General features: G+C 58.1%; 2 protein-coding genes across 8 annotated transcripts, besides 8 other annotated features; both read right to left on the bottom strand.

The window, feature by feature from the left end:
• On the bottom strand, positions 232-4,696 carry ASIC3 (acid sensing ion channel subunit 3). 4 transcript variants are annotated; one of them, NM_020321.3, is made up of 11 exons: positions 3,569-4,696; positions 2,732-2,882; positions 2,380-2,507; positions 2,035-2,230; positions 1,893-1,949; positions 1,669-1,816; positions 1,087-1,178; positions 926-1,005; positions 751-822; positions 514-572; positions 232-434 (listed from the first exon to the last, which is right to left on the bottom strand). In NM_020321.3, the coding sequence occupies exons 1-11, from the start codon at positions 4,100-4,102 to the stop codon at positions 302-304; spliced, it is 1,650 nt and encodes a 549-aa protein (NP_064717.1). In that variant the 5' UTR covers positions 4,103-4,696; the 3' UTR covers positions 232-301. The 4 variants fall into 4 exon arrangements, 3 of the variants coding, with proteins under 3 accessions (NP_064717.1, NP_064718.1, NP_004760.1); NM_004769.4 differs by having other exon boundaries at positions 234-414; positions 3,569-4,457; NR_046401.1 differs by lacking the exon at positions 1,669-1,816 and having other exon boundaries at positions 232-414.
• Positions 873-1,451: an enhancer, noted in NCBI's record as "H3K4me1 hESC enhancer chr7:150748624-150749202 (GRCh37/hg19 assembly coordinates)". NCBI's record gives its function as "activates a minimal SCP1, AML or CMV promoter by ChIP-STARR-seq in primed H9 embryonic stem cells {active_cell/tissue: H9 hESC(primed)}" and the evidence as "EXISTENCE:reporter gene assay evidence [ECO:0000049][PMID:30033119]".
• Positions 1,765-1,874: a silencer, noted in NCBI's record as "silent region_18791". NCBI's record gives its function as "represses an Ori minimal core promoter by ATAC-STARR-seq in GM12878 lymphoblastoid cells {active_cell/tissue: GM12878}" and the evidence as "EXISTENCE:reporter gene assay evidence [ECO:0000049][PMID:35858748]".
• Positions 2,307-2,945: an enhancer, noted in NCBI's record as "H3K4me1 hESC enhancer chr7:150747130-150747768 (GRCh37/hg19 assembly coordinates)". NCBI's record gives its function as "activates a minimal SCP1, AML or CMV promoter by ChIP-STARR-seq in naive H9 embryonic stem cells {active_cell/tissue: H9 hESC(naive)}" and the evidence as "EXISTENCE:reporter gene assay evidence [ECO:0000049][PMID:30033119]".
• Positions 4,697-5,205: 509 nt separating the features above from the next.
• On the bottom strand, positions 5,206-24,538 carry ABCB8 (ATP binding cassette subfamily B member 8). 4 transcript variants are annotated; one of them, NM_001282291.2, is made up of 17 exons: positions 24,378-24,538; positions 21,697-21,747; positions 19,071-19,383; positions 18,560-18,715; positions 18,389-18,483; positions 18,159-18,264; positions 17,246-17,407; positions 17,021-17,106; positions 16,818-16,915; positions 16,339-16,444; positions 12,687-12,720; positions 12,354-12,490; positions 12,066-12,160; positions 11,756-11,889; positions 10,880-11,027; positions 8,767-9,017; positions 5,206-7,779 (listed from the first exon to the last, which is right to left on the bottom strand). In NM_001282291.2, the coding sequence occupies exons 1-17, from the start codon at positions 24,470-24,472 to the stop codon at positions 7,639-7,641; spliced, it is 2,208 nt and encodes a 735-aa protein (NP_001269220.1). In that variant the 5' UTR covers positions 24,473-24,538; the 3' UTR covers positions 5,206-7,638. The 4 variants fall into 4 exon arrangements, with proteins under 4 accessions (NP_001269220.1, NP_009119.2, NP_001269221.1 ...); NM_007188.5 differs by lacking the exon at positions 21,697-21,747; NM_001282292.2 differs by lacking the exon at positions 21,697-21,747 and having other exon boundaries at positions 8,842-9,017.
• Positions 12,292-13,075: an enhancer, noted in NCBI's record as "H3K4me1 hESC enhancer chr7:150737000-150737783 (GRCh37/hg19 assembly coordinates)". NCBI's record gives its function as "activates a minimal SCP1, AML or CMV promoter by ChIP-STARR-seq in naive H9 embryonic stem cells {active_cell/tissue: H9 hESC(naive)}" and the evidence as "EXISTENCE:reporter gene assay evidence [ECO:0000049][PMID:30033119]".
• Positions 13,076-13,860: an enhancer, noted in NCBI's record as "H3K27ac-H3K4me1 hESC enhancer chr7:150736215-150736999 (GRCh37/hg19 assembly coordinates)". NCBI's record gives its function as "activates a minimal SCP1, AML or CMV promoter by ChIP-STARR-seq in naive H9 embryonic stem cells {active_cell/tissue: H9 hESC(naive)}" and the evidence as "EXISTENCE:reporter gene assay evidence [ECO:0000049][PMID:30033119]".
• Positions 23,351-23,954: an enhancer, noted in NCBI's record as "H3K27ac hESC enhancer chr7:150726121-150726724 (GRCh37/hg19 assembly coordinates)". NCBI's record gives its function as "activates a minimal SCP1, AML or CMV promoter by ChIP-STARR-seq in naive H9 embryonic stem cells {active_cell/tissue: H9 hESC(naive)}" and the evidence as "EXISTENCE:reporter gene assay evidence [ECO:0000049][PMID:30033119]".
• Positions 23,955-24,559: an enhancer, noted in NCBI's record as "H3K27ac hESC enhancer chr7:150725516-150726120 (GRCh37/hg19 assembly coordinates)". NCBI's record gives its function as "activates a minimal SCP1, AML or CMV promoter by ChIP-STARR-seq in naive H9 embryonic stem cells {active_cell/tissue: H9 hESC(naive)}" and the evidence as "EXISTENCE:reporter gene assay evidence [ECO:0000049][PMID:30033119]".
• Positions 24,206-24,515: an enhancer, noted in NCBI's record as "active region_26845". NCBI's record gives its function as "activates an Ori minimal core promoter by ATAC-STARR-seq in GM12878 lymphoblastoid cells {active_cell/tissue: GM12878}" and the evidence as "EXISTENCE:reporter gene assay evidence [ECO:0000049][PMID:35858748]".

The following is a 24,646-nucleotide window of genomic DNA, read 5'->3' as shown; positions in this document are numbered from 1 at the left end:
TCCTCCCTTCTCTCTAAGATGTCAGTCGGCTAAACTCACTCACACTGAGGTGCAAATGACTGATAACCTCTTGCTACCATTCTCCCCTAGAGATTCATGGGGGTTCAAGGGCCCAGCTCCACATTTCAGAAGCCACGTCCAGCTGGATGATGGCTGGCAGAAGACTTCCAATGCCTAAGTTGGGCTGACCTTGGCTTGGCTAGTCTCTGCCCTGTAAGAGAAACAGCTGAGGCTGATGCATTAGGACTTTATTTGGGGTGAAGACGGAAAAGCTACGTGCAGGCTAGGCATGTCCAGGATGTCAGGGCGGGGCTCCGAGGACACAGACAGCAGGTCTAGAGCTGTGTGACAAGGTAGCAGGTGCGGTGGGAGGCGGAGAGAGTCTTGGTGACGGCACAGGGAGGGGTGGGAGGTCTTCGGAACAGAGCAGAGTGCTGGGGTGGGAACGGGCACACCCACTGTCCTGAGCCTGCCCCTGCCCTCCCTTGATTTTAGGGGGCCATTATGTGTTACCTGGGGCCCAGGCTGAGGTGGGGAACTTGGGTTCGATGGCTGCCCAGCCCTTCCTGAAGCTGTGTGAGGACGAGAGGGTCAGAGGTGGGGAGTGGTCCTCCTCCCAGGGACCAGTCGAGGTCACTGCACACCCTCCTGCCTGTTTCTCCTCAGCTGGGGCGGGATGGTGGTCTAGGCTTCAGGGGTGGGCCCTAGCACCCTTGGAGCAGGCAAGGGCTCCAGAAGAGGGGCTGTTACCAGATTGGTGCTGGAGTGCCTTTGGGAGTGCTGTCGGTTCCAGAAATATCCCAGGACCTTGTCTCGGAACACCTGGAGGCAAGCAGGATGGGAGGTGGCCAGTGCACACCTTCCCCCTCATCCTAGGGGCCCTGATTCCCACCTCCCACCCCCTGCAGTGGGGGCCCTGGCCCACCTCACAGAGGTAGTCTAGGATCTCGAGGATGGTGAGCAGGCTGGCCCCGATGAACAGCCCCATCTGGCCCCCAATGTCACCTGTGGAGACAGGGTCACCCTTCAACTTACAGCCACCTGCCTGCCCACACCCCCCCAGCCCTGGGGGCCCTGCACACACACCAAGCAGCTCTGACATCTCATAGGCCTTCTTCTGCTCCACGGTCTCATAGTTGAGGGCCTCAAAGAAGATGTCCAGGGCCAGCACGTTCTCCCTGAGGACAAGAATGGCCTCAAATGTGGGCTGGCCACCGCCTGGTGCCCACTGCTGGCAAGAAGCAGCTGTGGGTTCTCCCACTCCTTTCAAGAACCCTGGGAGAGGCCGGGCACGGTGGCTCACACCTGTACTCCCTGCACTTTGGGAGGATGAGGAGGGAGGATCTTGAGGCCAGGAGTTTGAGACCAGCCTGGGCAATACAGCGAGTCCCCTCCCCTCCCCTCCCCCGCCCCCCGCCGTCTCTGTTTTTTAAAAGTAAAGATTAAAAAATAAAAGGAAAGGAAAAAAAAACAGACCCCTGGGAGGAGGCGTCAGCATCCCCCGGGGCCAGAAAGATTAAGCAACCAGCACGGAGCCCCAGAGCCAGTGAGGCTGCGGAGGCTGCCTCCGCCCGGGCTGTGCGCACTAGGGCTACGGCCTGGCCTGCCCCGTTCCGCCCCGTCGGGAGCCCCCGGCTCGGAGGAGCCCGCCCGCCCCGCGCAGCTCACGCGATGTAGGCCTCGCTGCGGTTGAGCTTCCGGGCCAGGAAGCGCGCGGCGGCGCGGCTCGGGATCCGCACCATGGAGAGCTCCTTGGCGTAGCGCGTGCTGGCGCACGGGTTGGGGCAGGCGCACGAGTCCTTGCGAAGCATGGCATCTGCGGGCCACCGGGCCGCGTCAGACGCCCGCGGGCGGAGCGGGGCGGACGGGAGGTGGGGGAGGCTCGCCCTTACCTATGGCCGGGTGGGCACAGTTCTTGTACTGCTGGGGGCTGCACACTGGCACGTCGCCTGCGGGTACCGGGGAGATGGCTTTAGAAGCAGCCTCAGCTCCCTGGGCCCTGCCCGCCATGGGACGAAAACCCCAGCCCCTCACCTGGCATGTACACCATTCGGCAGCCGCACTTCCGAGCCACGTAGCGGGTTTCGCAGGCCAGGCGACACCCCATAAGGGTATAGGGAGGGCTGGGGCTGGGGCTGGGGGAGCCTAGGGGATCAGAGGGCTCTGGCTCATAGTTGGGGTTCAGAGATGCTGAACTGCAATCGCCCCAGGGCGGTGGCAGGAAGCTCAGCTGTGGGGGGACAGGGTTAAGGAGGCTTCCCGGAGAGCGTGAGAGGCCAGCTGGGGAGAGGCCCCTAGACAGGTCTGAGGAGCTGAGGGTTTAGGGTCTGAGGTGGTGTGGGCTTGAAGTAGTAGGTGTGGAGGCACACGGAAGGGTACCTGCTGCTGCTGGCAAGAAACAAAGGTCTGGTAGCCCGGGGACACCCCCAAGCCCAGCTGATCGATGATGGGCGGCTCCTCCTGGCTGTGGATCTGCACTCGGATCCCCACCTCAAACGGGGTCTCCTCTGTCGGGGAGGGACCTGTGAGGCCTGACCTGTGTGGTCAGGTCTCCTGCCCAACCAGACAAGACCTCTCACTGCAGCCCCTCTCCCCAGGACTGGGATGAGCCAGCCCAGCCCCTTTCACAGGTTCTGGGGGAACACCCTGACACCTCCTCTCCTCCTCTCCTTCCCCTAGCCTTTTGCACTCCATCCGTGCCCTCCCCCAGCCTCATTTGTGTGCTCCCTACCATTGTCCCTCCACACAGGTAGATATTCCTCCTGCTGCACGTCCAGCATGATGTCCAGCCCATTGCCCATGCCACCCCTAGTAGTGGTGAGCAGCTCTGCCCCATCAGCGCCAGAGTTAAATGTGTAGCACTTTCCCATCCGGGTGAAGATCTGGGGCGGGCAGACAGGGTGATGGCCATCTCCCCCAGGCAGGCACATGGTCATGGGACCTCTCCCCACCTCATGGTATGTTTGCGTCTCTTCTTTGAATACTGAAGCCCGCATCTCAATGCCCCCAGCCCCACGCTCCAGTGGGCACATGTTGCAGGACGCTCTTGGGAGCCCATCAACTCAGCTCCTCCACCCCGCCAATCCCCACCAAAGCCCAGGGCACAGCCTACAGGTTTTTCTGTGTTTCTCTGGGAACTGCAGGAAAAGGAAATGGGCCCCTGTGGCTGTCCTCCGGGGCTGGCAGTATGTTGAAAAGGCAGAGGGAAAGCAAGCCCCCCCCACCTCCTGGCAGAGATAGGGGTCTTCTGCCCCAGAATGGTCCCACCATGGAGGACCCCCAGCCCCAGGAGCAGGGCCTCCCTGGGCCAGACCTCAGGCCTAGGGCCAGCCGGGGTCAGTGTGGCCTCACATGCTCCCCTCGGGCTGGGAGACAGAGAAAGCCCCAAGGAGGACAGCTTCCTGGGCTGCACGGAGTGGCACTGGGGGGTGGGGAGTCCATGGCTGGTAGGAAGGAAGAGGTCCCCTGGCTTTGGGGGAGCCTGTGCTGGCTAGGGAATTGTGGGTGCTGGGCAGGGACTGGTCGGCTCTCTGGGTCCCTGGCAGGATAGGTAGGGAGGTCAGCTCACCGTGGTGAAGTTCTCAGGCCCACAAGGTTGGCCACGGAAGCGACAGTCCAGCAGCATGTCATCCAGGGAGTGCCCAGCACGGGCATAGAGTTGCGCCATGTCAAAGGTGGGACTGGGCATGAAGCCGGGCGGTGCAGGGGGCCGGCCCAGGGCGCGCAGGAAGGCGGCGTGCTCTGCGGGATCCAGGCCCAGCAGCGCAGACCCAGCCCAGTGCAGGTCGTTGGGCGTTAGGCGCGAGCGGCGCAGTGGGTTGATGTTGCACAGGGTGACAGCCGGGAAGATGAGCCGGTGGCTTTCTCGCTCATCCAGGGCAGTCTGGTGGTGGAACTCCCTGTAGTAGCGCACCCTCTCAGCCACCTGGTAGAGGAAGGTGGCCACTGACAGGACCACGGCCGCTGCCCACATCCCCCGGCGCAGGCTCAGGCTGCCTGGCCCGAAGACGTGGCCCAGCCCGTGCATCGAGCAGTTGCTGGCGAACACGCGGATGTCCGAGGCTGGCCGCCGGGCCTCCTCTGGGCCTGAGGTGGGCTTCATGGCCAGAACCCAGGAGCGGAACCAGCTACAGAGGCTTGGAAGAAGCGAGAGAGAGTCAGTCAGGGGGCTAAGGAGGCTAAGATAGGATTCAGGAGGCCAGGCAAGGAGAGGAGAAGAGAGGGTGGGAGACAGCCAAGGTTGGAAGGCAGGGAGGCACTAGCCTGGCAGGATTGGAGGAGGTGATCTGGCCGGTCAGGTCCCACTGTTCCTTCCCGAGGAACAGGCGGTGGCTCCACTGGGCTAGGCACTGGGCTGGGGACTCCGCAGCAGACCAGGTGGGACGTAGCTGACCGTGGCAGGCAGGGGCTGCGGAGCGGTGCTGAGCCGGCGGTGCTGAGCCGGCGCTGCTGCAGAGGATTGGGTTTCAGCAGTAGGGGGGAAAGGGGGCCGACAGAGCAGTCTGGGGGGTAGGAGAGGTCCCTAGGGCCCCAGGCTGAGCCATTAGTGCAGCATGGAGGGGGGCATGGCTGTCCAAGACGAGAGGCGCCAGGAGGAAACCGCAGTAATCCTAGGGAGAGCTTGAGAAAAGCCCAGAGGTAGATTGGGCCTGGAGATGCCTTGGGGCCCCCTAGGCTCCCAGTTGCAACCCCTGTACACTGGCCGCGAGGGTCAGTCGCTGACCCCTGGCCTAGCTCCTCTCTCCTTTTGCCTCTGCGGCCTTCCCTCTAGCTTCACCCAGGATCTGTTCCTTCACGAATACCAGAGCTGGCTCTTGGCCAAGCTGGGAAATGGTTGGAAGGCTGGCATCAGCAGATCTCTTCTTTCTGTGCCCCTAGCATCTCAGCCTACACTGGATGGCCAGGGCACTCTTCATGTCCCACTTCCAGGGCCCGTCTGTTTCCTAAGTGTCCCTCTCTCCCTAGGGAGTCAAAGCCTACCTCCCCACACTCAGGCCTCTGAGGATGTTGGCCTCTACAATGGTTATGGGCTCACCTGCCACCCCAGGTAGAACATGGGTGCCCCACCTGCCACCCTCCCGGGTACCACGGGTACCCCACCTGCCATCTCAGGCACAACATGGGTATTCTGTGATTTCCCATCTTACGCTGCTATATCCAGGACCTGGAAAACCTACATTTTTCCAAAGGGCTGCATACCACCCATTATGTGCACATACCATAGTTTATTTAATGACTCCCCCACTGATGGGCACTGGGGGTGTCCAGTCTTTCCATTACAAACAATGTTGCCGTATCATCACACAGATGTGAACTCCCAGGACTTTGGTGGGCTTTTTTTGACCATGAGTGGTAGAAACATGGTTCCACCAGCCAAACGTGTGCACACACCATGCTGCAACTGCTGGGCCACCTGTCTGTCCTCCCAACAGGACACAAGCTTCATGGGGGCAGGGACTGTCCTCATTCCCCATCGTGGGCTCAATGGCACATGACAGGTGCTTGATTAATAAACACTTTGGAAGGACTGAGTACCATGGTTACAGCACAGGCGTACCAGCTCCCCAGAGCCACAGTGCCATGCTTTGCAAGTATTTACTGTAGATGATCCCACTCACACTCTCAAAACAGGCATTCAGCATCAAGCACAGCTAGGCTCCCACTCTCCACTGTGGAGCGAAGGCCGAGGCGAGGTTAGGAAGACGGCGCGGCTCCTGCGGTCTAGCTCTTCCAGCTGGACTAGCCAAGGGGTTTCACTGCTTCTCTAGGGGGCGGGTGAAGGGCTGGATTTAAAGAAGCCGCCCAGAAGATATAAATCTGGTGTCAGAGGCATTTTGGGCAGCCTGAGGCTGATGACTGAGTGGGTGAAGCAGGAACCACCTTGGCTGGCTGCCTGGTGAGGGAGGGGTCAGGCCAACAAGCAGGGCCCCAGCAGGGCTTGTGGACTTGCCAGCTGAGGCCCTACTCTGGGCTGCCCTAAGGAGGGGTTTAGCTGTGAACCAGCCCCAGGCTCTGCTCCTGGACCTCCACTGCTTAAAGACACAGCCTCTGATCTGTCAGGAAGTGGGATATCAAATCAGGGTGGATGTGGGCCTGGGGTTTTTGGATGGCTTGTCCCCAAAGCACCATCTAGTTCTAAACCACACCCACAAGAGCCCGTGGGTCCCACTCTGGCTCCTGCACGCAAACTTGAGCCACTGCTGCCTCTTCCAGGCTGGCCTCCCAGCAGCACCAGCTGCTCCATCAATGCACTGTATCACACCCCTGAAAGAGGGTACCACCCTTCTTTACACAGGGTAAATCCAGAATGCTTGCCTGGCTGTGAAGGTGCATTGCAGGTACCACCTCTTCTCCTGCCCAGGGGAACAGGGCACCGTGTAGTCCCACAGCCTGGATGTGGCTGGATAGGGGAAGGATCCCAGTAGGAAGTGACAGCGGCACCAACATGGGGAGGGCTGATGCATCTGCAGCAGTGCAGGGACACGAGGTCCTGCTGGGGCACCAGTTCAGCCAAGGACCTACTTGTGTGCCTTTCCAGGCCCCTCAGAAGCCAGCTGGAGCCTAGCCCCCTCATCCACAGTCTCAGGGCCACAGGCGCCCATCACTCAGGATGTCTGCCTTCCCCTTTCAAGGTGCGCCTCCCAGAACCTGCTGGGGATGCTGGCCTGTCCACAGCCGCACCCTCCTGGACCGATTCTGTACTGGATTCTGCAGTAGCTGCTCCATTTAGCTCTGTACTCGTCAGCACTGTGGGCAGGAAGCAGAGAGCTCCAGGTGGGCATCAGCCCCTCCCATCTCCTTCAGTGCTGGGTGTTCTTGGTGTAGATGGAGGCTGGTTCACAATCTCAGTGGGTGAAAGACGCCAGGCACACAGGGCAGGGCCGGTGGAAGACAGCCAGGCAGGCTGGCGCTTCTCGTGGGAACTGGCCATTGTGGCCCCGTCCCTCCTACCCTGACCCAAGTGTTGGGCCCTGTTAGGCCTGTGTCCCTTGTGGGTGGGGAGGGGAGGTGAAATCTAGAAATCAGGACTGTGTTCACTGTGCAGGGAGAAAGGAGGGAGGTTGTTTGGAAGATGGGGACTGTGGGTCCCGGGGTGAGCCAGGGGATAGGCTCCTTCTCCCATGGAGGGAGTGGGGACACAGGAGAGGGAGTCAGTCGCCAGTCTAGGGAAGTGAGGTCCTAGCAAGGGTGTGGGAAGAGCCTAGGTTTGAATTCCCAGGCCCACTTCCAGACCCTGATTTTTAAAAATTCCCTGGAGCTACTGTAGGCCTGGCCAATTTGAAGCTGCTGGGTGGGGCAGGGAGACTGGCCAGAACGTCTCTTGAGAGGTCTGGAGGGGTCTGGGCAAAGGGAGAATAGAGTGGAGGTGTCTCGTGGAACTCTGTCTCTGCCCATTGCAGCCCAATGACTCTGGCAGACTCTGGTGGGAGGGAGGCAGCCGGCAGGACTGGGGAGGGGAGGGAGGGATTGGCCTCCCCTGCCAGCTGCTCGGCCCCGGCTTTATTGTGAGCAGGAGCAGCCGCAGCGACTCTCCACATGCTGGCCCTCCTGGGGGCTCAGTCCCCAGTAGGCTCCCCCAGGCTGAGCCCCAGCCCTAACACTGATGCTTGGCAGCGACCACACCTCAGGGGGCCCTTCTCAGGACTTGTGCTGGTGGCTCCTGGGGCCTTCTGGCTTTTTGGGCGGTGGGGCCGCTGTCCTCGGGGCATCCAGGGCCTGCCTCCGGATGAGCTCGGCGTATAGCCCGCCTTTCTTCAGGAGCTCTTCATGTGTCCCAGCCTGGAAGATGGGAGGGAAGGGCGGATGGTTGCTCCAAGGCATGCAGGCTTCAGAACCCTCAGAGAGCTGAGCCTCTCTATCAGCCATTGGGCCCATGGTCACTTAGGCCGGTGTCCCTTCTGGGGACACTCTGAAACCAATGCCCAATCTGAAAGGAACCGCCACTGGCATGCTGCATTAGTTACTGCCACTTCCTTACTTAGCTGAATTTTGGAAGAACATGATTCCCTCTGTCCCCCTTACAGAGCCCAAGGCTCCAACTCAGGATCCGTCTCCCTGCACGAGCCCCTCAGCCTTGGCTTGAATGAGTGGCTGTTAGCCAACGCCACACGGCCTCTGGGGTCCTACTCCTGACTCCCTGCACAGGTTCCTTGGCGCTGCTTCTCCTGCACCTGATACCCTGGGCAGCTAGCCCTGCTCCTTGCTCCCAGCACCATACTCTGAGTATGTTTCCTTTTTGTTTTTTGAGACAGGGTCTCATTCTGATGCCAGGCTGGAGCGCAATGGCACAATCATTGTTCACTGCAGCCTCAACCTCTGGGGCTCAAGTAATCCTCCCGCCTCCGCCTCCAGAGTAGCTGGGAGTACAGGTGCATGCCACCACATCCGGCTAATTTTTTTTTTTTGGTATTTTGTAGAGACAGGGTCCCGCTATGCTGCCCAGGCTAGCCTCAAGAGATCCTTCTGCCTTGGCTTCCCAAAGTGCTGGGATTACAGGCACCCGGCTAGTACTTTTCCTTTTGATCCTGGGAGCTGATGGTGCAATTATACTATCCCAGGGGACAGAAGAAGAAACTGAGGGCCTGAGAGGCCAGGGCTTGGCTGAATGCAGGAACTCCTGACTCTATATGGGACGCTGCTTCCAGAATATAGCCCCCAAGGCCCTGGGGCCAGGCCACAACTTCATATAACTCATTGCAGCATTGTGCCACTGTCCGTGATGAAGCCATCCTCAACCCACTGATCCACGCCCCCAGGACAACTAACCTCCCAGACACGGCCATCGGCCATGACGACAATGCAGTGGGCCCCACGGACAGTGCTGAGCCGGTGGGCAATTACCAGCACCGTGCGGCCTGCACTGGCCCGGTCCAGGGCCTCCTGTACAACCCGCTCGGACTCTGCATCCAGCGCGCTGGTAGCTTCATCCAGTATCAGCACCGTGGGCTGCTTGATAAGGGCTCGGGCGATGGCCAGGCGCTGCTTCTGGCCCCCAGACAGGGTAGTGCCCCGTTCACCTGGGAAGGGAGGGGCAGGGCAGGAGCCTGAAGCTGTGCACTTGAGGGTGGCCCACAAAGGGGCACAGGGTCCTTCCTGAACGCCCATCAAGATCCTCTAAGTGCCCCTCTCAGCACTGTGCACCCTCCTCCTGCCTCTGACCCCCACCCCGCACTGTGCATCCTCCTCCTGCCTCTGACCCCCCACCCCACACCGTGCACCCTCCTCCTGCCTCTGACCCCCACCCCGCACTGTGCACCCTCCTCCTGCCTCTGACCCCCCACCCCGCACTGTGCACCCTCGTCCTGCCTCTGACCCTCTACCCCGCACTGTGTACGCTCGTCCTGCCTCTGACCCTCCACCTTGCACTGTGCACCCTAGTCCTGCCTCTGACCCTCCACCCCACACTGTGCACCCTAGTCCTGTCTCTGACCCTCCACCCCGCACTGTGCACCCTAGTCCTGTCTCTGACCCTCCACCCCACACTGTGCACCCTAGTCCTGTCTCTGACCCTCCACCCCGCACTGTGCACCCTAGTCCTGTCTCTGACCCCCACCCCGCACTGTGCACCCTCCTCCTGCCTCTGACCCCCCACCCCACACTGTGTACACTCCTCCTCTGGGTTCCCCCTGCACTGGCTCATCCCACCTCTGGGTCCCTCAGCCACTGTGCACACTTGCCCTGCCTCTGAGGGTGGTGTGACACCGCCAGCAGGGCTTGGTGCACTCCAAGGGAGTTGCCAAATGCCCCTCCCCAGCCATGGCAGTGCCTCAGGCCAGGATGACCCACACCCTGCCCTGTGCCTGCAGTTCCAAGCCACCTTCCCAGCCTCCCGGGTCTCTGTGGCTGTGGGGAACATCCAGCACCCAAACATGGGCTCTGGGGTCCAGTGACTCCAGGGAGGTGGGATTCGAAGCCCACAGAGGACAGCACAAGTGGCAGCCTGGGAGCCAAAAAGAACCTCAAGGTGACAGCAGGGTGACAGGTCAGTAAGGACGCAGCCCCAAGAAGGCCCAAATGAGCAGAAAGTACTAGGATCAGAGACACAAGGAAAGTGCCACCCAAAAGAGATGTGGGAGAGCACCCAGTGAGGACAGCTGGCATCTGGACAGTGTATCAACACGGCTGGAGGAGCCATCTAGAACACGATGGCTGGGCTGGGGACACTGGCCCCACAGCTCAGAAGGCTGGACTCAGACTGACCAGAGTTGAGAAGCCCAGGTATCCCTGTATCCTGAGAAGTGCTGAAACACTGTGCAACAGAGCCAAGACACTGGCCGAGAAACATGGCCCCGAAGGCTGGAAAAAGACCTGGGAGCTCCGCACGTCAAGCTGCAAGGTGCACGCCCTGCAGTGCCAGGCTGCGTGTTCCTAGTTCAGAACCACCAGAGCCCTCTCCTGGGGCCCATCCAGTCACCCCGATTCTAATGAGAAACGACTTTAGAGATGAAAAGCACAGGAAGGAAACAGGAGCCAGAGGGGGATGGATGGTGGAGAGGAGGCAGCCCCCCATTTCTTCTGTTCAGTCTGGGGAAGTGGCGGCCTTTTAGACTCGGTGAGGACTCCAAACACCATGCATCACTGTGTCCCTGGCCAGGAGCCTGTCATATGCCCTCTGTCGCATTCTCCAGCTCCTCCTAGAGCCCGTCCTGTCTCTGCAGCCTGCCTGGTCTGCTGGTTCTGAACCACACTGGCCTGGACTCCCCTGTCCCCACACAACGACTCTGTCCCCTTTGGCTGTGGTTCTCGTCTTCCCTGACACAACTGTCTTTCTCCCCAGCTGTCCCTGCTGCCCTCAGTCCCACTGGGCTGCTCACTGCTCCTGTGGAATCCTGTGTCCCAGTGCCTCACCACCTGGTTCCCGGCAGACCCGAGCACCCACCGACGACCGTGTTGTAGCCCTCGGGGAAGCTGGTGATGAACTCGTGAGCATTCGCTTCCCGGGCGGCTGTGTACACCTCTTCATCGGAAGCTTCCAGCTTCCCAAAGCGGATGTTTTCCATGATGGTCGTCCCAAACAGGACGGGCTCCTGTGGGTGAGGGGTTATGGAGACAGAGTCCATAGAAACATTCTCTTTGCCCCAGAAACTGGAGGGGCCACCATACACAATGGGACAGTCTATCTGGTGGATTAGATTAGGATCTCTTGAAGAATCAGACGTTCAAAGTCAGAGGTGAAGTGAGGATGCAGAGTGGCCCCCAAAAGGGAAGGACAGTTCGACTTCCTACCAAGGGCCCAGAATCCCTCCCCAGGAGTGGGAGTGGGAGGAGCTGGCAGGGCAGGGCGCTGGGAGTTGGGGGCTTGCATTTGCCTTTCTTCTGCACAGGCACTCTCCCTGGCGGACAGCAGGCATGCCCTCTTCATTCACGGCCCTCAAAGGGAAGGGTGGACCCTCGCTGGGCAGTGCCACCTCAAGCAGAGGGAGAACGGCTGCAGCTCAGCACCTCCACTATAGGCTTCTCTAGACCTGGATGCTATGGGATTTGCAGAGAATCTGAGGGATTCCCCATCTGTGTAGACTGCTGTAAATGCGGACAAAGCGTCCCTGCTCTGGGAGACCAGGCAGAGCTGTGGCTGCTCCCACGACAGGGATGCCTCACCCAGACAACAGCTGAGGACATGTGAAGACGGCCAGGGTCTCCCGAGAGCAGCAAGGATGAGGGTGGGAAAGAAAGAAAAGGCACCTGAGGACTAAGGGGGCAGGGCCCAGGGGAGGACGGGCAGTGGGAGCCAAGGGCTGCCCATGTGGCCCCGCACCTGGCTGATGAAGCCGACAACCTGGCCCCGGAGCCAGGAGGGGTCAAGGGTGCGCAGGTCCCGCCCATCCAGCATCACCACGCCTGCCGTGGGGTCGTAGAAGCGCTCCAGCAGGGAAGCCACGGTGGTCTTTCCTGGGGAATTGGGTTGAGAGGGAGGGAGGCCAGGGATTCTAGGGATTGTCCCAGGAAAGAAGGCCCCTTGTGGCAGTGGAGGAAGGGACCCCACCGGGGGCTCACTGCTCCCGGCCTTGCTCTGAGTGGCTGCTAGAGAAGAGTCAGAGGGTGAAGAGGTGGTGGGCTCCCCTTACCTCCGCCAGACTGGCCCACGAGGGCCACGATCTTGCCAGGGGGCAGCGTCAGGGTGAAGTCTTTCAGCACCTCGAAGCCGGGGCGGCAGGGGTAGCTGGGAGGAGCCGAGAGACCCCCAGTCAGACCAGGCTCCCAGCCCTTGTTGCCCGGGTCCCTCCTGAAGTCTCCCTGTAGCCCTCTGAGAGGGCCTGTTTATGGGGGACATTAGTCCAGACCTCCACCCCCGAATCCACTCGCCTCATCCCCGGCCCAGGGACCCATCCCCACGCCTGCTCACCCGTGCTGACCTGAAGCAGACGTTCTGAAATGTAACGGAGCCACGCAGCTGCTCTTTGGGGACGCAGCAGCCCCCAGACAGTGGGATGCAGGGGTTCAGGGCCATGTACTCAAAGACCCGGGCACCTGCACTCAGCCCCCGGACCACCTGTGGGAGGGGATCCAAAGTCCGCAGGGAGGCAGGAGTAGGGGTGACAACAGCATCTCCAGGGAGTGGCCATGGCTCTGGGCTGGGGTCTCCCCAGCTCCTCTGCCCGCCCACACCCAGTCAATAGGCAGCTCCCACAGCGGCACACACGGCACAAACTCCACACCCCAGGCCCTCCACCCTACCGGCCACTCACCTGCCCAAACAGGACAGAGAGGTTGGCCATGGACCTGTCAGAAAAAGGAGAGAGGGGTGGAATAGATGGGAACAAGAAGAGCCAGAGGAGGGGAAGGAAGCCACGGTGGGGCGGGGGAGCAAGGAAGCAGGTGGCCTGTGGCCAAATGCAGAGACTGCTCCTGCACCATGGGGGCGTAGAGCCCTGGGACGTAGCAACACCAGATCGCTGAGCCCTGGCTCCCTCCTTGGCCAGATGAGGATGACAGCTGTCCCTCAGCTCAGCCCAAGCCCCTGGGAGGGGGTGCTCCACGAGGAAATGGAAGTGAAGGCACAGGCCTCTGTGGGTGTCCTCCAGTGCCCTGGCCTGTGGTCTGCAGGGTGAGGCCTGTGCACACATGCAGCGGTGATATCAGCCCACGAGGAAGGGAGCCCAGCTGACCCACGGACTCCCTGCTCGGCCCTGAGGATGCGGAGGCCGCCACCATGAACAGAGATCAAGGGTGCGTGGCTTAGAAGGGGAGAGCAGATCTAATGCTGCAGACTCTTGGGGAAGCAATGACTTTGGCAGACATTTAGGTGGAAGAAGTGATGTTAAATCTTTTTGGAGAAAGAAGAAAACAGAAGACACTGGGCCACAGGGGAACTCTCAGGAGACCCCAAAACAAAATTCCCTGAAAAAAATTTTTCTCATGAGCTTGCCCTGCAGATAAGTATACCCACAGTGTTATCTGTCTAGACAGTGGGTGGCCTCCTTCGTCCCGGCAGGGCCGGGGTAGGGCTGGCCGGCTGCCAGGAGGCTGAGGAGGAAGGTGAGTCACTGGTCCCTGACTGGCCTGGCTGACCTGTGACAGTGTGTGTATGCCTGGTCCCCTCCTAAGTAAGAGGAAAGACTGACTCCCCAGCAACCCTTCAGCTGCAGACTCACTTCTTCCAGCACTAGGGTGGGGGTGAGTGGGAGGAGCCTCGAAACCCAAAAGGAAAAGGTCCCAGTGGACTCAGTGCAGTCAGCACTTGCTAAAGGCAGCCGGGGGAGGCACCAGGCAGGAAGGAGCCAGCCCAGCCAGCTATCTGTTGATGAGCAGGGGCACATTCTCCACCAGAGATCTGGAAGACATTAGGGCCTGGCAAAGGGGCTGGGCAGCAACTGAAATTCAAAATGCACATGACTCATTGGAGTGTGATGACCCTGCTCTCAGGGGCCGTGGGCTGTAGGCTACGGGCCTGTTCCCAGGTGGAGCCTGGCCCTGATTCTGATGAGGCGGCTGGGCCCCACTTGCTGTCTGTCTGGGCACCTCCCCATCTCCATCAGGAGTACTCAGGATGGGCTCATAGGTTAGGCTGCCTGAGGTAGGCCGGGCCATCCTGCTCCCCTCTCTCTGCTAGACCCCAGTGCCAATGCATGGGCCCTTGGCTTAGCTGGCAGGACCCTGTGGGAAACACATCAGCTGCTTTATGCAACAAATCCAAACCCCCAAGATGAGTGGGGAAGAATCTCCACATAGGCAGCGCTAGAAGGACCTCCAAGAGGATGGGTCTAGGGCCTGTGGCTGTGGGAGCAGCCAGCGAAACAGCACAGACAAGCCCCTGGGGGTTCTTGTGTGTGTCATAAAGCTGCTGGATGGCCAAGCAGTACGGTGGGAGGTAAAGTCAGAGTCTCAGGCCCTAAAGGGGAAGTGGGGGTCCCGAAGCGGGAGGGTTGGGGCTGGACAGTGCAGCCACCCTCCCCACAGGGAGACTGTCCCACCACTGCCCACCACAGAGGGCTAAGGGGTGATTTTATTAAGGGAGCCACTGGGCTTCTTTTTTTTTTTTTGAGACGGAGTCTTGCTGTTGCCAGGCTGGGGTGCAGTGGCGCAATCTCAGGTCACTGCAACCTCTGCCTACCAGGTTCAAGCGATTCTCTTGCCTCAGCCTCCCGAGTAGCTGGGACTACCACCATGCCCAGCTAATTTTTGTATTTTTAGTAGAGACGGGGTTTCACCATGTTGGCCAGGATGGTCTCGATCTCTTAACTTCACGATCCACCCACCTCGGCCTCCCAAAGTGCTGGGATTACAGGTGTGCGCCACCGCACCCAGCCGCCACTGGGCTTCTTATGGGCCCTCAGGACTAAAACGACCGTCCCATTCAGAGAGGCCAAAACTCTGGTCAAGGGAAGTGGGTCAGCGCTGAGCAGGGCAGGCAGTGGTGGAGGCAGCCCCCCAAGACCCCATCTCTATCACAGTGAGAGCATCTGAACTCCAAAGCCACGACAGAACAGCTCCCAGCCCCCCAAGACCCCATCTCTATCACAGTGAGAGCATCTGAATTCCAAAGCCACGACAGAACAGCTCCTTGGGCTGGAGGAGGGCGAGGCTGCCAAGGAGGCCTGAGCCCGGGACCAGAAAGGGTCTGAAGGTGCTCAGATTAGGGAGCACGAGCAGAAACGGGGCACGCGAGGGTGTCCATGCAGCTGCGGAAATGGGAGGAACGTCTCTGTGGAATGTCAGGTTTGGGGCTGAAAATGGGAGCCTGTCTCCGTCCGCCTCCCGCTTCCTGGGACAGTACACCCTGCAGTGAGGGGTTCTGATCCGGCGGACACACACGCAGGGGTGCACCATGCAGCAGGGCGAGGACACATGCCTCAGTAGAATGGGGTGGGGGCCCCGGTGGAAGAGCAGGGGGGTCGTGGGGGGAGGGATGGGGTGGCAGAGGTGATGCACGGTTCGTGGAGACGGGTCTTCACCCTTTGATGATCTGTTACAGCATATTTACTATCTCATTATTTACCATAACATATTTATGTAGAACTGCTTGTGTTTAGCTTGGAAAGAGATAGGAGGGGGGAGGCCCGCCTTGAGCTGTCTGGTGATCAGCTCTGGTCATCCCAGAGGCTCAGCTGAGCGGGTGGTTTTGGACCAACGCAAAGCAATAAGCTATAAGGGTGGGGTGTGTGGGGACAGGGGTCAGCTTGTCATCCCTGGAAGTGGCAGGCATGGGGAAGGGCAGCTCACACAGCCTGTCAAGGATGGTCCTTCCATGCATGGAATGTCACAGCCTGCAGCGGAAGGGAATTCGGACAGGGTGCAACACGGAGGAAGCTGAGGACACAATGTGGAGTGACAAAACGCAGTCACAAAAGGACATAGTCTGACTCCACTTAGAGGACGTCCCTAGAGTTGTCAAATCATAAGGACAGAAAGTGGAATGGTGGGTGCCAGGGGCTGGGGGAGGGCAAATGGGGATTCCCATGTCATGGGGATAGTTTCCGCTCTGCCAGGTAAGAGTTCTGGAGGCGGACGGTGACAACAGCCGCACAGCAATGTGAGTGCACCCACTGCCCATGAGCTGCACACTTCAAAATGGTTAAAATGCTGTATTTTATGTTTTGTGTACTTTACCACAGTTGAAACAAATTTTTAAAAAGCCTGTCAAGGAAACTTCTGGGTCCTTTGGAAGGCTGAAGATGACAAGCACCTGCCTGCTGCAGCGCCACTGCCCCAGCCAGGAGGGTTGTTATGGGCCCTGAGGGGCTCTCTCTCCCCACCCTATGCATCCCTGGGGAAGCTGGGCAGGCCTGGAGCTGCACAGCAGTCGGCCCCCAGAGAAGGCTGGCACCCGTGTCCCCTAACCCAGCAGGGCTCTGGAGGGCGGCAGGGGGCTCTGTAGCAATGGGAACGGCCCCCACTTACCTTTGCACTGTCTGGGAGGCCACCAGGAAGGACATGAGGTCTCCCCCTGTCAGCTGCTGTCCGGCCACAAGGGAGCCCCCAATAAATAGGGTACCCAAGACCATGCCTGCAGGAGAGGGGAAGTGAGGGAGGACGAAGCCAGGGCAGAGGAAACAGCCCTGGGCCTGCTCTGCCACTGCTGACTGGGAGAGTCAGGTGAGGCGCATGACTGGTCCCAGCGTTGGCTTCCTCCTCGGAAGAGCAAGTTGGGGTGGGCACGCCTCCATGGCCTCCTTGAGGGTGGCCCTGTAGCGTTCCACATGGAGTCCCATAGCTGGGTTGGGACATCGGCACCCTCCCTTTACCTGCAAGAGTTAGCAGCTGGCCCGAGGCGAATGCAGGCAGCCAGCAGATGAAGGGAGGGCCTTTGCCTGCCTTGGCTGCTCCCAGCTCCTCCCCAGCCCACAAGCGCCCCTCCAGCCCCCAAATGGCTCACTCACAGTTGAAGGCGATGTTGGAAAGCCCTTGGAACAAGGCGATGCCGCGGCCCAGCTCCTCTGCCCGGCAGCGGCAGGCTTCCAGCTCTGCCCCATAGCGCCTGGTGAGAGAGACCAGTGCATTCAGGAGGCAGCTGGGCTGGCACGAAGGGTTGGCAGGGTGTGGGGGGCATCTCTGCTTTGTGCTCCGCCCTCCCAGGACTCACTCCTCTTCCCGTTGCTCCATGGCGAAGGCACGCACAGTCCGCACATTGCCCAGGGCCTCGTCTGCTACGCCCATTGCCCTGGCGATCTGCAAGGAGTCCAGGAAACAGGACAAGGAGTCCAGAAAACAGGACAAGGAGTCCAGGATGGGGACAGGGAGGAGTTCCGGGGAGTGGAAAGAGAAACGGTGTGGGGAGGGTGAAGAGGATGGCCAGGAATGCCGGTACCTGCTCCTGACACTGGCGAGACAATTTTCGGAGGCCTGAGCCCATCAGGGTGCCCACTCCCATCAGGGCTGGTGTGGCCACCATCAGCAGCAGCGTGAGGCGTGTCGACAGCATGGACAGGGACACCAGGCAGCCTGCCACCTGGGTGCAGCTTCGCAGCCCCTAGGGAGTGGGAGGGAAGGCGGGAGGCTACGGCGTCCGCACCATGACAGGAAGGACTTTTCCAAGGGTCAGCTGACTGTAGCTCTGCACTCCCACGGCCAAGGCCCAGGTCTTGGCCCCTGGGAGGCCCAGTGGCAGTCCACCGGTCACAGTACGTAACCCTAACTCGGCCAGTTGGGGTGCGAGCAGCAGGCCTGAGGGGGCCGAGCGAGAATGCTATGAACTGTGGCATCCTTCCCCTAGACAAATCCCAGCTTGCTTCTCTTTCTGTTCTAGGAACTGAACAAAGAGAACTGCATGGGGGTACACCAGTGACTGCCTAGGCCAGTGTGTGGCATGATCCAGCAGTCAGAGTCGGTGTGGGCGGATAAGGGGAGGGCATCTGTGTTCGGTAGGCCACTGCACATGCTCAATGCTTGTCAGCAATCCAGGCACTCTGGGGACAAGGCAGGCGAAGTGATTTTGCTCTTGCCAGGAAAGGCTCTTGTCTGAGTGCTTGGGAAGGCTTTCCAGGGAAGATTCGGTTTCAGAGCAGTGGAGAAGCAGCCTGTCCTGACCTTGGACACTGCCTCTACACTTTCCTTCCATGAACTTCCATGGTCCCTCACCCATGCCCTCACAGGCAGTGGGTTTCTCGAGTCAGCATGCGCCTGTCAGCCCAACATCAGGGCTGGGGCGGGCAGGGCTGGCCTGGTGAATCCACATGGGAAAGTGTGTGTGTGGACGTGGTGGGGGCCACTGGGCCACTGACCTGGGAGATGACAAGCTTGAAGGATGACTTAAACTCCTGCACGTCAGTTGTCAAGCGGCTCACCAGCTGCCCTGTCTTATTGGCGTCAAAGAAGGTGATGTCTTGTCTGGCATGGGACAAGAACCAATAAGGAGGGCAGAAGAGGGAGACATTACTTCAGGATAAGGTCCTACCCCCAGACCCCTCAGGCCATCAGTCACCCCAACTCTGCACCCTGCGGCTGGCAGTACCGGAGCAGGGAGCTGAAGAGGGCCCTCCGCATGTCCACAGCCATGCGCTCGCCAACGTGGGACAGCAGCACCAGGTACCCGAAGGTCAGCAGTCCCTGCGAAAGAGCCCAGTGCACTCAGGGATGCCTCGGGTGGCTCCTCGGCGGTCCCCAGCCCCACTCCCGGCTGTACCTGGACACCATAGAGGATAAGCAGGTGGGTGCTGAGATTCTGGGACTCAGTCATGAAACTCCCTACGTGGTCCCTTGTGTACTTGGCCACGACCTCTACCAGCTGGCCCAGGAGCAGGGGGATCTGTACATTCACGAGTGCCGCACCCAAGGCCAGCTGGAATGGGGAGACAGAGGGCACAAATGTTTTAAGTGGGGGAGCCACTCCTCCCCATCCCCAGCCAGATCTTGGCCCTTCCTCTCCCACTACTGAGCACTGCGCTTGTCCAGGTTGTGGCTGGTCATGTGGACACATCAGTGCCTCTCAGAGGTTCAAACCCTGGCTTCCAGTCCCCACGGAACCCTGCCCACCCAGCCACCCAGTGTTGATGCTCCTGGCACCCCTGGACCCCTGGCTAGCCCTTGCTGCTCCCCTGAGCTCTCCCCTGAGAGGCAGCGAGGCAGGAATGCCATCCCTTTGCAGCTCTGGGTCCTGCCCTGTCCCCAGGATGGAGAAGTGGGGAAAGCCTCACCACGACGGCTACCCCCAGGACCAGCAGGTGGGGGTGCAGAAACTGCCAGAAGAGCTTCCAGTTAAAGCGAGACCCCACGACATGGGGTGTGGAGCTGGCAGGAGGGGCCTCTTCTGCCTCACACAGGGCCACAAGGCAGAGGTGGGGATGCTTACTCAGTACCATGGGGCCTAGCAGGGCTCCCCCAACCCAGCACCAGGCAGAGGGGCTCCATCTGGGAGCTAGGGGGGCTCGAGGGAGGTGGGCCCAGAGCTGGGACCGCAGGTGGGCCACGGCCCGGAGGAGGGAGGAGCTGCGGTAGCCATCAGAGTACCTGTAAGGAGAGAGAGGCATGGATGGCTTGAGGCTCCGACTGCCCTCCTGCTGACCAGCACACCCATGGGGCTCTGGCTGAGCCCTCTGGAAGGAGCACTTCCTCTTCTGTCAGGCCCTTGCCCCTGCCCTTCTCAGGGCTGTTCTGAAGCAACTTCAGTTTCTAAGACATGTCCATGGGCAAAGTCGCAGAGGAATGAGGCACTGAGCACAAAATCTAGTCTTAAAAGTCTTATTCCCCTGGGCAACTCTCAGGCAACACCCAGCCAGCCAGGGCCCTCGCAGCCTCGACTCCAGGCTCTGACAGAATGACAGCCTGAAGAACTGGATGGCACGTTAGATGGCCACACACTGCCTGGACAGGAAGGGGCCGGGGGTTTAAGGGACCACGGTGCAGAGAGGTGAGGAAAGAGAGCTGCTCCTGTGCCCGGCACTGGACTTGCTCACAGCAGCCACCAGGGCAGACACAGCCCCACCTCCTGGAGCTAATGGGCTACTTCCCTTGATCCTCACCTCCCTGGGAGGGAGGTGCCATTATTCTCACCTGACAGATGAAAAAAATCATGTGGAGCTAAGAGAGCTGAAATAACTTGTCCGCAGGCAGCAGAACTGGGACGAGCAGGGAACCAAGTCTGCAGTCTGACTCCAGCACCCAGGCTGGCTCTACTCTGCCAGTGTGCCATGTCTTCTGATGTCCCAGGCCCATTACCCTACCTCCCCTCCCTGGCCTGGGGCGCCATGACACACACTCCCTCTCCACAGCTGAAGGAGGAAACAGAGAAAAATAAGAATTCTAATAACTTATCTTGTCATCTTGAATAGGACAATTACCTTCTCTTTCCTTCAGCTGCCACATCTATAAAATGCTAACATCGATTCCACTATTCTAGACATTGTGTTTTTTTTTTTTTTGAGACAGAGTCTCGCTCCGTCACCCCGGCTGGAGTGAAGCGGCACAATCTCGGCTCACTGCAACCTCTGCCTCCCGGGTTCAAGAGATTCTCCTGCCTCAGCCTCCTGAGCAGCTGGGACTACAGGCACGAGCCACCACGCCCAGCTAATTTTTGTATTTTTAGTAGAGATGGGGTTTCGCTTTATTGGCCAGGCTGGTCTTGAACTCCTGACCTCATGATCCACCTGCCTCAGCCTCCCAAAGTGCTGGGATTCCAGGTATGAGCCACCGTGCCTGGCCTATTCTACACATTTTGAACCTACTGTGTGCAGGTGCTCTGCTCGGAGTTATGGAGTTACATGACAGCTGAAGTAACTCCCCTCACAGCAGTCATGCTTGAGTGCGGGAGACTCACAGTTAACTGGAAATCAGAGGCACAAAACAGCTTGAAGCCCTGCTCCTCCTTCTCCTCAGAGGGAGTCAGGAAAGGCCTTCTAGGTAAGGGGGAACCTGTGAGGGGGAACAGGCCAGGCACAGGTGGGGGTGGAGTGTAAAGGGGAGAGCTCTAGGCAGAGGAAAAGCAAGTGCAGGTATCTCCAGTAAGAAAGGATGGGAGAGAAATTTCAGGAATTGTATGGCTGAAGCCTGACCTACAAGAAGGGAAAAGAGACATGAGACTTGCGGGAGGGGCAGTTTTCTAGTTCTTATAAAGCTCCTGGACTTGGGGGGCAATAAGGGTCATGGTGATTTTTAGGCCGAGATGTGCCAAGATTAGGTTTTCATTTTAAAGATCGTAGCATGGCCGGGCGCAGTGGCTCACGCCTGTAATCCCAACACTTTGGGAGGCTGAGGCGGGTGGATCATTTGAGGCCAGGAGTTCTAGATCAACATGTTGAAACCTTGTCTCTACTAAAAATTAGCTGGATGTGGTGGTGTGTGCCTGTGGTCCCAGCTACTTGGGAGGCTGAGGCAGAGAATCACTTGAACCTGGGAGGAGGAGGTCACAGCGAGCCAAGATCGTGCTACCGTACTCCAGCCTGGACAACAGAGCAAGACTCTGTCTTGAAAAAAAAAAAAAAGATCATAGCAGAGGGGCATGGGCTGGAGGCAGACAGGACTGGTTGTAGGGAGCAGAAGTTATCCAGCCAGGAGAGGATGGTGAGATCTAGAAGATCTAGATAAGCTTACTGATGGGGAAAGGTTTAAAAAAAGAGTAGTGTGAGCTTTTCTCTTTACCATCATGGCCTTTCACATCCCTAGACCCTTCTAATTGCAGTCTTCATCTCATCCTTCCCCTGCTTTCAGGAAGGCCTGTGCCTTTTGCCTACATGAGGCCTTCTCCCACCCCATTCCAACTGCCAGGTTTTTATGTCTTGTTTTCCACTGTGTTCTTGTTTCTATTAGAAAGATAGAGACGCTTACTCTCCTTCTGCCTTGTGTAACTGTCCAGTTTTCCCATTACGCCATGTGTTTCTGAAAGGCAGGAAATTATATCTTAGACAGCACTGGCAGAACTCCGGTACATAATAGATGTTCCGCAAATGTTTATGCTTGTTGAGCACATGCATGCCCTCATTAGAGGTGCAGGACAATCTGACCTAACTACTACAGGGTTTTGCAAATGTTTAGACTTACTGTGGCCTACAGCAAGAAACATATCTTACTTGCAACCCAGTACAATGAACACATACATGCCACACAAAATGGAAATGCTTCACAAAATAACATTTTCTCTAATTCTTAACATGTATTCTGATTCTTTTCTTTTCTTTTCAAGACAGGGTCTCACTCTTTTGCCCCGGCTGGAGAGCAGTGGTGCTATGCTGGCTGACTGCAACCTCCACCTCCCAGGTTCAAGCGATTCTCCTGCCTCAGCCTCTCGAGTAGCTGGGACTACAGGCGCCCACCACCATGCCTGGTTAATTTTTGTATTTTTAGTACAGACAGGGCTTCACCATGTTGGCTAGGCTGGTCTTGAACTCCTGACCTCAAGTGATCTGCCTGCCCCGGCCCCTCAAAGTGCTGGGATTACAGGCGTGAGCCAACGCACCCGGCTAAGTTTTGTATGGGGTTTCACCATGTTGGCCGGGCTGGTCTTGAACTCCTGACCTCAAGTGATCTGCCTGCCTTGGCCCCCCAAAGTGCTGGGATTACAGGTGTGAGCCACTGTGCCTGGCCTACATTTACTTTTATTTATTTATTTGAGACGGAGTCTTGCTCTGTCATGCTGGAGCGCAATGGCACAATCTCGGCTCACTGCAACCTCTGCCTCCCAGGTTTGAGCAATTCTCCTGCCTCAGCCTCCCGAGTAGCTGGGACTACAGGTGCGTGCAACCACGCCTGGCTAATTTTTGTATTTTTAGCAGAGACGGGGTTTCACCACGTTGGCCAGGCTGGTCTTAAACTTCTGACCTCAGGTGATCGCCTGCCTTGGCCTCCCAAAGTGCTGGGATTACAGGCGTGAGCCACCGTGCCCAGCCTATATTTACTTTTAAATGGTCCTGACCAACTAAATGCATTTCATAATCTATTGAAAAATACTGACTAATGAACACATATATACTTGAATATTATTTTATGTCTTTCCTTGGGTTTCTCTCTGGTTTAAATAACATCAACACCCTTACTCTTTCCTAAGAACTGTTTTTAAACCTTTCAATAATTTAGCATGGTCTTTTTCCAGCTTCTTGCATTGTCTCCAAACTAAGACTCTAAGAAAGTCTTGGTCGTTGCCAAGAGCATGTGGATTACTTCCCAGTACCAAGACTTCCAGCTCCAGCTCGATCCAGCTCTTGCCCTCCATCAGTCAGATGGGCTTTCCAAATGACACAACTCCACATCCACCTGCCCTTGGGAATCTTCTATCTGTTTGGCCCCCAAGTAATTCACTCTAGGATTAGAAAGGATGGCCAGGTGAGGTGGCTCATGCCTGTAATCCCAGCACTTTGGGAGGCCGAGGCAGGCAGATCACCCGAGGTCAGGAGTTGAAGACCAGTCTGCCCACCAATATGATGAAACCCCGTCTCTACTAAAAATACAAACATTAGCCGGGTGTGGTGCACATCTGTAATCCCAGCTACTTGGGTGGCTGAAGCATGAGAATTGCTTGAACCCAGGAGGCAGAGGTTGCAGTCAGTCGAGACCATGCCACTGCACTCCAGCCTGGGTGACAGAGCGAGACTCTGTCTCAAAAAAAAAAAAAAAAGAAAAGAAAAGAAAAGAAAAGAAAAGAAAAAAAAAGGAATCAGTCCCTTCTCATAAAGCATTTACATTCGAGTTGTAGTTTCAGGGTCCTTGTTTGTTTCCCATCTGTCTGTCTGTCTGTCTCTCTCTCTCGACCAACCTGTGTAGAGTGTTTTGCGAAAAACACACATGTACAAGTTACTAGATTGACTCTTTTTTTTTTTTTTCTGAGGCAGAGTCTCACTCTATCACCCGGGCTGGAGTGCAGTGGCCATGATCTCAGCTCACTGCAACCTCCGCCTCCCGGGTTGAAGCGATTCTCCTGCCCCAGCCTTCCAAGTAGTTGGAATTACAGGCGCGTGCCACCAATCACGGCAAATTTTTGTATTTTTTAGTAGAGACGAGGTTTTGCCATGTTGGCCAGGCTGGTCTCGAACTCCTGGCCTTCCAAAGTGCTGGGATTACAGGAGCGAGCCACCGCGCCCGGCCTATTAGATTGGCTCTTTATCCCTGCTGAACATCTCTAGTTCTTCTTCGACTCACTTTGAATCCTGGAAGCACCACTACATTAAATGTCTCTTCATACTAATAAGAATTTTCGTCCAAATCGCGCAATCACCTCCAGGGCCAGGAAAGGGGACCCCCGGTCGGGAGTGCGGACTGGGCGTGGTCACTGACCCCGAGCGTCCCCTCCTTCTGGCTGACACGCGGCTGCAGACGCAGGAGCCTCCTGCTGGCGACTGGAGTGTCACTATAAATAATTGAGGCCAACACCCGCGGAGTGACATTCCACCCCGGTAGGCCTGGCCTACAGCTCCCAGCAAGCCTCGCGCAAGCTCGTGGACTCCATCTCCCGGCGGGCCGGCACTGCCCTGCCGGGCGGTCAATGGCCCGCTCTGAGTAGGTTTTTCCGTTTTTACCTGACAGCTGAGAATGTCTGGAAGCGGAGGGGCGGTAGCAGCCTGCCTGGGAATGGGCCACCCCGAATCCCGACCCGAAATAAATGCACCAGCATGCTGACGCGGTAAAACAGGAGCCGCCGGCAATAGCAGTTTCACCCTCATCCCACTGAGGGCTCTATGTTGGCTCCCGCCCCCATCCCGACAACCCCCTCGCGCCTTGGCGGTGATTGGTGAAAAGACACATCAATCTCACTTCAAGCTGTGATTGGAGGATATGTTGTCAGCCC

Source organism: Homo sapiens, chromosome 7 (assembly GCF_000001405.40).
Source record: "Homo sapiens chromosome 7, GRCh38.p14 Primary Assembly".
Classification (NCBI taxonomy): Eukaryota; Metazoa; Chordata; class Mammalia; order Primates; family Hominidae; genus Homo; species Homo sapiens.
This window is presented reverse-complemented; position numbering and strand designations above follow the sequence as displayed.